Source organism: Homo sapiens, chromosome 1 (genome assembly GCF_000001405.40).
Source record: "Homo sapiens chromosome 1, GRCh38.p14 Primary Assembly".
NCBI lineage: Eukaryota > Metazoa > Chordata > Mammalia > Primates > Hominidae > Homo > Homo sapiens.
In genome coordinates this window covers 103,462,326-103,474,787 of record NC_000001.11, presented here as the reverse complement: position 1 = coordinate 103,474,787, position 12,462 = coordinate 103,462,326, and the positions used below count along the sequence as shown (strand labels likewise).

The 12,462-nt window shown below is 35.0% G+C and overlaps 1 long non-coding RNA gene across 3 annotated transcripts in view; it reads left to right on the top strand.

The window, feature by feature from the left end:
- RNPC3-DT (RNPC3 divergent transcript) overlaps positions 1 to 12,462 on the top strand; it is a 108,529-nt gene that overhangs the window by 50,721 nt on the left and 45,346 nt on the right. The window contains exon 2 of one of the 3 annotated variants that reach the window (NR_168319.1): positions 5,398 to 5,446. The exons of the other annotated variants lie outside the window; for them this stretch is intronic. This is a non-coding gene — a long non-coding RNA (RNPC3 divergent transcript). The remainder of the gene's footprint in view (positions 1 to 5,397; positions 5,447 to 12,462) is intronic. 3 annotated transcript variants of the gene reach the window in all.

The window sequence follows — 12,462 nt, the reverse complement described above, 5'->3', positions numbered from 1 at the left end:
CAGGTATCCAAAGCATTATCTTGATTCTCTGTTAGAGTTGGGGTTTATGGTGGCCCATAAATAGAATCTTGGTCCAGGTCCATTTCACAGTGGATTAACTGATTTGATGGACCCACTGAGTGGTCATTTCTCTAGTTGCTGACATAAATTTTAAATGGAGACACTTAATAGTTGTTAGAGCTCTATCTTGATTCCTAGCGTATAGATAAAAGCGAAAATACTAGGGGAGATCAAGTGCAAGTCTTACTGCTTTCCAGAACTATTTTCCAAGTCCTTAGAGAATGTTTAATCACCAAGAAAGGATTCTGCATATTGCTGTATCAAAATGTGGAAGACTATTCACAGCAAAATAGGTATGGTGGTAGTAGACACCTGCATATAGGATCTACACAATGCTTCATCCAAAAGTTTCCAGTCTAATAAAAGTGATGCAACAGAATTTTGAAGCTGGGGCTCCAGGTTGGAGATAAATTCTGCCAGGATGGATAGCCATTTTCCAGAACACAGTATAAATAAATGCTAAATGAATTATAGTAGTTGATACTTTGTTATCTATGGCTACAATGTCTATTCTTAAAATATGAGTGAAAAAATGTGATGAGAGAAATAATGAGTAAAAGTAGGAGTGGCTTGATTTATCATCACTCTCAGCTACGCACTTGAACTTGTACATTCTATTCTCACAGCTTTGGCTCTTTGGCTTTAGACATTCCAGTTGACAGAGTGCGAATTCTTCCATCAGAGGTCAAAATAAAAGACTCGATAAACTCTATTATGGTACTACACAATGACTTCTGGTTCCCTGTACCAAGAAACTTGCAGGAAAAAAAAAAAAAGTGTAACCATTGTCTGTAGTGATAGGGCTAAAGCTTTTCCGTTAGTACTTCTCTTTTACTTTCCTTAAAAAAAATGATCACCTAGAATATTAGAGGAGATATTACCAGATAGGGTAAACTTATTATACATATAGAGTGGATTTGAGGGGATTTAAGTGGACTGTAGTAAATAATGCTGTATTAGACTGCCTAGATTCCCCCTTCAGTACCAAGATTCTTAGTACAGAGATGCCAGCAGTGTTAGTTTCTGATAGCTCAGTCTTTCTCTCCAAATCTCCCTTAGAACAAGGAATCTGCCTTACTATCTCTGCACGGGCAGCCTTCATCCAATGACTGATTTGTGTCCAGCAAGAAAGTCACTGCCCCGACTGGTGCAGTGGCTCATGCCTATAATCCCAACACTTTGGGAGGCTGACACGGATGGATGGATTGAACACAGGAGTTCGAGACCAGCCTGGGCAACATGGCAAAGCACGTCTCCACAAATAATTTTAAAAATTAGCCAGGCATTGTGGCATGTGCCTAGGGTCTCAGCTACTTGGGGGACTTTGTCAGGAGGATAACTTGAGCCCAGGGAGTTGAGGCTGCAGTGAGCTGTATTCAAACCACTGCATTCAAGCCTGGGCTACAGAGAGAGACCCTGTCTAAACAAACAAACAAAAAAGTTACAGCTCCCTTTGCCTACATTCCGTACAACTTAGAAGTGACATTCTTGTTTCAGAGCTTTTTGGGTGATGGACTGAAGCCTTTTGTTACTTTATAATAATTCAACTTCTTCCACTGCCCAACATTATTTAGCCATTCACAGGTGTGGTTACACAGTGAACTCTCCTAATAATCTTTCTAGATGTTAATTCCTCTTTCAGTCTTGTTTTTTGGGGAATCTAGCCTAACATTTGTTGATTGTATTACTATTTAGTGTTTTAAAGTTATAAAAAGAGAAGTAGGAATGTAGCAACTCAATTACTTCATGAAAAGCACTTTTGTTTTTCATCCTTGCCAATATAGTTAGATTAATATTTTTCAGTCTGGTATGTGGTATCTCAATTTTGCTTTTATTTGCATTTCTCTGATTGCTTGTAATTTCAAGCATAATTTTACATTTTTTTTTCTTTTTTAGTTTACCTATTGATGTGTTTTTTGAGATCTTTGCCCACATAGTGGATTTTTTTTTTTGCAAAAAATATGTTTACACCAATACTCTTCAACTTACAATGTGATTACATACTGATGAGCCCATTGTAAATTTAAAATATCATGTTAAAAATATTAACTTACCAAACATTATTGCTTAGCACAGCCTACCTTAAACGTGCTAGGAACACTTAGCCTACAGTTGAGCAAAATCATTGAACGCAAAGCTAATTTTATAATAAGGTGTTGAATATCTCCTGTAATTTTTGAATACTATACTGAAATTGAAAAGTATAACAGTTGTATGGGTATTTCAAATAGTTTCTGTTGAATGAGTATCACTTTCACACCACCATAAAGTTGAAATGTAAGTAGAACCATCACTAGTTGGGGGAACATCTGTGGTTGCTACATATTCTGCAAATAAACACTTCATCAAATTTATGCAACAAGTGTATTTTTCTACGTATGGCTTGACTTTTCACCGTCTTTATGTTGACTATTTGTAAATAAAAGCTTTTTTATTCTTTTAGTGTGTTTGAATTAATCAACAATTTCTATATATTTTGTGATTTTTTTTTTGAGACTGAATCTCACTCTGTAGCTCAAGCTGGAGTGCAATGGCGTGATCTCGGCTCACTGCAACCTCCACCTCCAGGGTTCAAGCGATTCTTGTGCCTCAGACTCCCGAGTAGCTGGTACTACAGGTGCACTCCACCAGACCTTTTCTGGTATATATATATTACCTTAAGGCTTTTTTTTTGTAGTTACTGTAGCAATATGCGTATTACTTTAGTTAATATTTGTCTGATTTTTTTTCCATATTAGCTTTCAGTCTTTCAGTGTTTCTTGCTTATTTTGGTCATATTCAGTATAATTAATAAACTAGGTATTTCAGCTCTACTTTCTCATTTTTTTCTAACATTGGTGATATGGTTTGGCTGTGTCCCCACCCAAATCTCATCTTAAACTGTAATCCCGTCAATCCCCATGTGTCAAGGGAAGGACCTGGTATGAAGTGATTGAATCATGGGGGCGGTCTTCTCCATGCTGTTCAAGTGATAATGAGTGAGTTCTCACGAGATCTGATGGTTTTGTAAATGGCAGTTTCCCCTGGGCTTTCCTCTTTCTTTCCTGCTGCCTTGTGAAGAAGGTCCTTGTTTCCCCTTTGCCTTCTGCCATGTTTATAAGTTTCCTGAGCCCTCTCCAGCCATGTGGAACTGTGAGTCAATTAAACCTCTTTCCTTTACAAATTATCCAGTCTCGGGTATGTCTTTATAACAGTGTGAAAATGGGCTAATGCAATGGGAAAGAAAGAGAGAAAGATACAAAGGAAAGAAAGAAGAGAGAAAGAGAGAAGGAAGGAAATAAGGAAAGACAAAAGAAAAGAAAAGAAAAAAGAAAGGAAAAGAAAAGAAAGAGTCAAAGGAAGGAAGGAAGGAAAAAAGGAAGAGAGGGAGAAAGGAAAGAAGAAAGGAAGAGAAAAAGAAAGAAGGAATAAATTTCTAGAGGTAAAACAGAACTTTTGTGACAATTAAATGGAAATGTTTTCAAGACTATTACCTAACAGATAAACATGAGGTGATATCATTAATGCATCAATGACTTTTAATTCAGGGTGTCCCACCCTAACTTAGGCTAAAAATAGAAGACAGTACTTATGGAAAACAGTACTCTTGGAAGTCAGTATCTCCCTGGCCAAGGATCAATTGTATCACATGAAGTTATTGATGAAATTTCTGCAGTATAAACACACTCAAAACAATCAGGTTGTGAAAATTCATGGGATTAATTTAATATCAAAGCTCTAATTTTACTAGATGTTGTAGAACTTTGTTGCATTAAAAGTAATAGCAAAAACCACAATCACTTTTGCACTGACCTAATAGTTTCCCATCTCAGAAATGGCTTGTAAAAACAGTACACCCTGCATAAGCAAGTACTATTTTCTTCTGAGCCTGGATAAAGTTAGAATTTCTGTCCCATGTTTTATAATCTACAGCACATGAAATAGAAGGCCCACAGAGATTTGAGACCATTACCAGAGTGATAGGAAAGTAATGCTTAATTTATCTCTAGTCTCATACAACTACTTTCCTACAGCCGCACCTGACTTCCCCTTTACATGTCTATGTCATTAACTTTGTCCTACAGGATAAGAAGACTTCCCCCAATAAGTACCTGGATGTGCAAAGACAGATGTAGAAAGGAAATGACATATTCCCAGGAGCACAATAACTGACACTAACTGTGGCCAAATTCAACAAATGAGAGATACAGATTTATAGTTATGTATTTTTATGATGGTACTCTTCTAGCCATTTTTGGAATTTTGTCATTGAATTAATAGTTCGATTCTACAATATTCCAGAACAGATCATCAACATTATAGATGTCAACATTTTTGTTAATATGAAATCTATAGTACATAAAAGTTTTATCAACTTCATCAGTTAGCCTTTGCTTCATAACATACTACCCCACAAGTTAATAGCTTAAAATTTCTATGTATTTTGTTTATGATTCCAGGCTGGCCTCCACTGGGCAGTTCTTCTGGTCTGGGCTACACTTGGCTAATCTTGACAAACCTTTCGCAAGTGTCTATGATCATTTTGTATATTGGCTGGGGCTGGCTCCTTTATGATGGTTTTATGAGGAAAACAGGAATGATAAGCTTCTGACATTGTTTCAACCTTTCACTACACTGGTCAGAGATCATTCATGTGATGGTGTCAGAATTTCAGGAGCAAGAGAAGAAATTGCAAAGCTTCTTGAAGTCCATTCTTGGAACTTACTGAATAGTACTTCTGGCATGTTCTTCTAGCCAAAGTAAACCACTAGCCATGCTTGAATTAAAGAGATAGAGAAACCACTTCACTTTTTTATAGAAAGAATTGCAAAAAACTGTGGCCATTTGTGGAATTTACCACTTCAAGTAACCTGTGCAAAGAATTCAAATCAAATATTTATCTCTGACGTCGAAACTTTAACAAAAAGGAAAAAATTTACTCAAACTTTAAATGTTTTAACCACAAATTTAATAATCCCTTACAGCTGGAAACAAATTATTTGACTTGACATAACTTATCCTGAATTTTTGATATTCATAATTCTTTCAGTCTTTGTCAGAGGAAATAGAACATAAAAATATCAATATAGGAAATTATAATATTTCTTATTAGTACTCATAAATAGCGTGGAAAGTAGGACATTGGTTGAAATAAGGTTTTGGATTACTTATGGATTCTATATATCCATCTTATCACTATCATTAATGTAAAAATTCATGTTATTTATAAACTGAAATTGATAAAAAATTTGATAATTTTAATAATGTTGGATTAAAAATGAAAATTTTATGGAAACCCTTGAGTGCTTAACCTAATTAGAATTTTTCTTTTCTTTTTTTCTTTTTTTTTTGCGACAGAATCTCACTCTATTGCTCAGGCTGGAGTGCAGTGGCCACAAAGCGGGAGGTGAGTGGTGGGTGAGTGGGTAAAACTTCATCTGTATGTACAGTCACTCCCCATAGCTCACATTACCACTTAAGGTCCACTTTCTGTGGGATCTCAGCTCACTGCAACCTCCGCCTCCTGGGTTCAAGCAATTCTCCTGCCTCAGTCTCCTGAGTACTGGGATTACAGGTGTGTGACACCACAACCAGCTAATTTTTATATTTGTAGTAGGGATGGGGGGGTTTCACCATGTTGGTCAGGCTGGTCTCGAACTCCTGACCTCAAGTGATCCTACCCGCCTTGGCCTCCCAAAGTGCTGGTATTACAGGCATAAGCCACCACACCTGGCCTAACCTAAGTAGAATTTTTTATAAATTAAGAAATAAATGGAAATTCTGAAGTGTTAGAACTAAACATAGATTAATCCTTTAGGTTTTTTCAAAACTATAAATTTAATTTACATTGGAGTAATTAAAGGCTGTTCACACCTGTAGCTTCATCATCCTGTATTTCTAATTCTTCAAGCACTACATTAAAGGCTTAAAAAATAAAGTTCTAAAAAATAACATTCTCCAGAAAAATGTGTTTACCGATATAGCATAATAAATACTGTACGTTTTATGGAGTATTGCATGTTATTAAAAAAAATAATTAAATTATTCATAATTTTGTCAACATTAAAAAAATCAAGCATACATTAATTTGTATACCTACCTATTAAATTATATTTTTAAATTGTATGAGTATAAATATTATACAAAAAGCAATTGTAATTCATTATTTTCTACTATTTATTGCACTTGAAGAATGAAGTAAAATGAAGGCGGGTATTCAAAGATGTCTAATTCCAACTGTGGGTTTAAAGGAATTCACCTAAGAATACATGGGGTAAGGCTCTAAAAATTTAAATGGAGAAAAATAATGTCTAGTTCAGAAAAAAACACAAGGAAAAGATTAACATTACAGAGTTTTTAGAGACTGAAGAAACATATTGTTATGAAAACTGAGCCTTGGACCCACTGAAGGTTACAAAACTAGTGAGTTGTGGGTTGGAAGTCAAATTTCATAGCCTTAAGCCCGTTGTTTTTTCTTTAATATGATATTCTAGAAAAAGGTGGATAAATAAGCTTCCATGTCTTTGTATCACATTTTAGGAGGTCTGCCTCATTTATCTATTTTATTGTTATTCTGAAGCTTGTCAAAGTTTTGATGATTTTTAGAAATTATTTCTAATGATAAATGTCAAAAAACTGGGAACAACATGAACCCTTTTTTCATGAATATCTATGTACCTGTTGCCTCATAATAAAAAAGGTGAGTCAGTCTCATTTTCTATTTCTCCAACATACATACACACAAATACACACACACACACACACACACACACACACACACACACACACACACACAACATAGAACCTGAAAATGTTAAAGATGCTTTTTCTTTTCTCATCTCCATTGGGGCCAATAGCTACCCAACCCATATATCTTGAGTTAATTTTAGAACTTTTTCCCCACTTGATTTTCACATCACAAAATCTAATTGATTCTACATCCCTACTAACTCTTAAAATAAAGCTTTCTGAACAGCTATTGGCTTTTATCAGGCCTCGTAAGTGACCTCCCAGGCTGCTTTTGCCCTCTACCTAGCACCATCTCCTTAATCCACCTTTATAATCTGGGTCCCACATTCTACATTCTCCCAGAGTAGCCTAAGCTGCAGTCAGACTGTACCATTTGCTCTTCTTCCAATTAACCATGCTCTCTCATGCCCACATGCATTTGCTCATTCCATATCCTATGCCTGAAATACCCTTCTCCACTTCCACTGCTTGATAAAAACTCAGCAGTGTTTTTTTTTTTTTAAGACAACTCAGATATGGTTTCTTATGTTCCAAAAATGATTCCATTAGCACGGGGTCCCCAACCCCCAAGCCACAGACCAGTAGCAGTCTGTGGCCTGTTGTGAACTGGGCCATACAGCAGGAGGTGAGTGAGTGGTGGGTGAGTGGGTAAAACTTCATCTGTATATACAGCCGCTCCCCATAGCTCACATTACCACTTGAAGTCCACTTTCTGTCAGATCAGTGATGGCATTAGATTCTCATAAGAGTGTGAACCCTATTGTAAACTGTGCAGGCTGGCCATGGTGGCTTGCACCTGTAATCCCAGCACTTTGGAAGGCCGGGGCAGATGGAACACTTGAGGCCAGGATTTGGAGACCAGGCTGGTCAACATGGCAAAACCCCATCTCTACTAAAAATAAAAAAAAATCACCAGTCTGGTGATGTGAGCCTGTAGTCCCAGCTACTTGGGAGACTGAGGCAGGAGAATGGCTTGAACTTGGGAGGCAGAGGTTGCAGTGAGCTGAGATTGCACCACTGTACTCCAGCCTGGGCAACAGAGTGAGACTCTGTCTGAAAAAAAAAAAAAGAAAGTGAATTGTGCATGCGAGGGATCTAGGTTGCCCACTCCTTATGAGAATCTAATGCCTGATGCTCTGATGATCTGTCACTGTCTTCTATCACCCCCAGATGGGACCATCTAGTTGCAAGAAAAGAAGCTCAGGAATCCCACTGATTCTATATTATAGTGAGTTGTATAATTATTTCATTACATATTACAATATAATAATAGAAATAAAGTACACAATAAACGTAATGTGCTTGAATCATCCCAAAACCATCCCCCTACACTTGGTTCATGGAAAAATGGTCTTCCACTAAACTGGTTCCTGGTGTCAAAAAAGGTTGGGGATTGCTGCTTTAGCAGCAGTAACAATATCTCCTTAACAGAAGATGTTCTTATAAGACAGTTGGGTCAAATCAAACTTTATGAAAAGCTCTGAATGCTTCCATAGCTACAAGAAACATATATCCCTTGCAAGGTATGGATATAGAAAAATAAAACTGGTTACAGTAGGTAAGTTGTACTTCATTACATCGTGAATAAAATCTATTTTAGACTTTTTCTTTTTTTTCTTTCTTTTTGTATTTCCATAGGTTATTGGGGAACAGGTGGTGTTTGGTTATATGTGTAATTTCTTTAGTGGTAATTTGTGAGATTTTGGTGCACACAATACCTGAGCAGTATACACTAAATCCAATTTGTAGTCTTTTATCCCTCACCTGCTTTCCACCCTTTTCCCCTGAGCCCCCAAAGTCCATTGTGTCATTCTTATGCTTTTGTACCCTCATAGCTTAGCTGTCACTTATGAGTGAGAACATACGATGTTTTCCATTCCTGAGTTACTTCACTTAAAATAATAGTCTCCAATCTCATCCAGGTTGCTGTGAATGCCATTAGTTCATTCCTTTTTATGGCTGAGTATTATTTCATCATATATATATATATATATATATATATATATATATATATATATACTAGTTTATTTATCTACTTGTTGATTGATGGGCATTTGGGTTGGTTCCACATTTTTGCAATTGCAAATTGTGCTGCTATAAACATGTGTGCGCAAGTATCTTTTTCAGATAACGACTTACTGTCCTCTGGGTAGATATCCAGTAGTGGGATTGCTGGATCAAATGGTAGTTCTACTTTTAGTTCTTTAAGGACTGTCCACACTGCTATCCATAGTGGCTGTACTTCCTACCAGCAGTATAGAAGTGTTCCCTGTCCACTGCATCACGCCATCATCTATTATTTTTTGAATTTTGATTATGGCTCTTCTTGCAGGATTAAGGTGGTATCACCTTGTGGTTTTGATTTGCATCTCCCTGATCATTAGTGATGCTGAGCATTTTTTCATATGTTTCTGGTTTCTCTTCAAGTCATATAAATCTTTCACCTTTTACTATTTTAGACTTTTTCTATCCCCATTCTATTTCATTCAAGTGTATTGGATCATATTGATGACAGACAAATCTCAGTGTGGTCAAACTACTGAATACCAATCAATATCATATGGAAAATTTGTTACACTTTAAGAGTTTCGTGTCACAAACATACATCTTAATTTTCCCATTAATTATTCTAAAACTTTTCATATTTATATATGCTTGTGTACCTTTGACTTGTTCTGAATCCTAAAATGGTATATTAAAGTCCTGTATCATATGGTAATTTTATTAAAACCTCCTCGAGTTTCCAAAAAAAAGAAGCTTTTGCACTATATAATTGTATTTATTCTAAGTGCTGCAACTCCAAATAATTTTGAAAAATTATGTACCACACATATTCTAAGTTGACTTCTAAACTTTTTATTATAAGCTGAAAGTTTAATAAGTTGCAAAAGTATGTAATTGTCATTGTGTATTATAAACACTTCATTTTTTAAAAAATCCACTTTAATAACATGAAAAATGCCTTGGCAATTTAATGCCTACTGTACTAGGTTGTCCAGAGTCCCTTGAAAATCCTTGTTCAGAACCATTTTATTTTGGCAACTCTAAGAAACTAATACAGATTTTGATACTGACAGTAGGGTATAGAGTAGGCTGCTGTAACAAACGCTAAAAAAGTGGAGGTGGCTTTGGAATTGAGTACTGTGTACAGCCTAGAAGACTTTTGAAATGAATGATGGAAAAATCCTAGATTGTCTTGAAAAGACTATTGATAAAAATATGGATGTTAAAAAAGATTTTGGTGAGGGCTCAGCTGGAAATAAAGAACATGTTATTAGACATAGGAAGAAAGGCAGTCTTTGGTATAAAGTAGCAGAAAACTTGGCTGAATTATATTCTGTCAGTGGGTGGAAAGTTAACTCGTAAGTTATGAACTTGAATACTTAGCTGAAGAGATTTCTGTGAAAGTATGGAAAGTGTGTCCTGGTTTCTTTTTGCTGCTTATAGTAAAATATGAGAGGAAAGTGATAAATCGAGGAAGGAACAATTAAGCAAAAGGAGCCAGAATAATAATTGCTAATTTAATATTCTATAAAAATATTTTTATTTTATCAAACTCCTTAAATATTTTTGAATTATTTTTTAAATATATGAAAAATAACATTAATTTAATTAGCACAATCTTCATTGTCTAACAAATCAACCAGATTCTGCCTACTGTTTGTCTATAAGTCTACCTTTATTTAAAAAATAAATTAAATGTGTTACTGTGTGTATTTCAATCATCCCAGGTCAGAATTGGTCAGATTGATAAATAGATGGATTAGGTATGCAATCTGCCATGAGATTTTGAAATAAAGTGAAGCTACCTTTAATATTTTCCTACAGATATTCTTTTTGCTTTGTTCTCATGGAACTTATTCTAAAGAATTAGGCATTTTTGGTGAGAGTTTGGGGGACAGAAAAAGTGACATCATTAAACAAAATTTTATCACTTCTGCAATGTACCTGAATGCATTCTACAAAATATCTGAATTCAGAACATCTTTTCATCATCTAGACTACCTTATATCTACTGCTAAATTGAGCCTTATCAGATTATTTATATATTTATATATCTGCTCTCTCCCTCCAAACCCTTTTTTATAACAGGTTCTTATATTCAGAATACAGATCTTCATGACATTCAGGCAAGAAGATCCAGGAAGTACTTCTCTAATCTTAAGTTCGTAGTATTTATGTATGTGATGCGCGCAGGGATGCTTAATATATTATTTTGGAAAATTTCCTTTATGCTTAAAATATTGCATAATTTTTAAAATTTTAATATTGGTAAAAAAACATACAGAAATGTACCATCTTAACCATTTTTAAGTGCACAGTTCAGAGGTGCTAAGTATATTCTCACTGTGGTGCAACAGATCTCCAGAACATCATTATTTTGCATAATTGGAACTCTATATCCATTAACTACTCCCCACTTCCCTTTCCCTGTAGCTGCTGGCAACCACCATTCTACTTTCTTTATCTATAAATTGGATTACTTTAGATACTTCATATAACTAGAATCATATATTATTTGTGTTTTTGTAACTAGCTTATTTCACTTAGTATAATGTCCTCAAGGTTATTCCATGTGTTACATACATTCCATGTATGTAACAGGATTTCCTTCCTTTCTATAGCTGAATAATATCTCATTGTGTGTGTGTGTGTGTAAATATTGCATTTTTTATTTACTTATCTATCAGTGGATATTTGGATTGCTTCCACCTCTTGGCTATTGTGAATAGTACTGCTATAAAAAAACACAATATGCAAATATATCTTTGATATTTTGCATTTAATTCTTTTAGACGTGTGCCCAGAAGTAGGATTGCTGGATCATGTGGTAATTCTATTTTTAATTTTTTGAGGAATCTCCGCACTATTTTCTATAGCCACAGCACAATTTTACATTCCTACCAGAATGCACAAGAGTTCCAATTTCTCTACATGCTTGCCAACACTTGTTTTTTTTTTTTTTATTTTCTTTGTTAGTTTTAATAGTAGCCATTCTAATGGATGTGAGGTGATTATGCATAATTTTAAAATAAAAATATAGTAAATATCATTTTCAGTATTCTATTGAAAAATGCACTACAGAGTTAATAACATAATTAGTGAAATGTATGTGGCATGCATAAAAATAGGTTTCCATTTTTAATGGCAAGATTAGAAGCAGAACATTTTTAAAGACATGAGACAGAATGAGTACTTCCAAGATTTTTCAAAATTCTGACTCATTACTGTTGTGTGAATTTTAGTAGAATCAGTTTCTTTAACACATATAAAGCTCTGTGCCAAGCACTATTCCAAGTGCTTTTCAAATATTAAGCATCCACTCATACTAATTTTTCTATGATATAGATATTTTTATGCTCATTTTACACAAGAGGAAATTGAGGCTTAGAGGGAGTCTTAGCAAGTAAATGGGAGAGCAAAAATTCATTTAATATTGACTAAAATTAACTTCAGAAAGCCAAAGATATTTCAATCATATCTTGTTATTTTCAAGAGATTCTGCCTCATTTTACTGGGAAATACTTGTATTTCTTAATCATATTCTCATATTGTCAAGTTCCTCCTTCTGAGAATAGGCCTACCAAGGTAGAAAAGCAGACATTGAGGGTTGGAGTTCTGCTAGCCTAGTGGCACAAATAGAATAGAGTCAAGGAATGTAAGGTATTAACA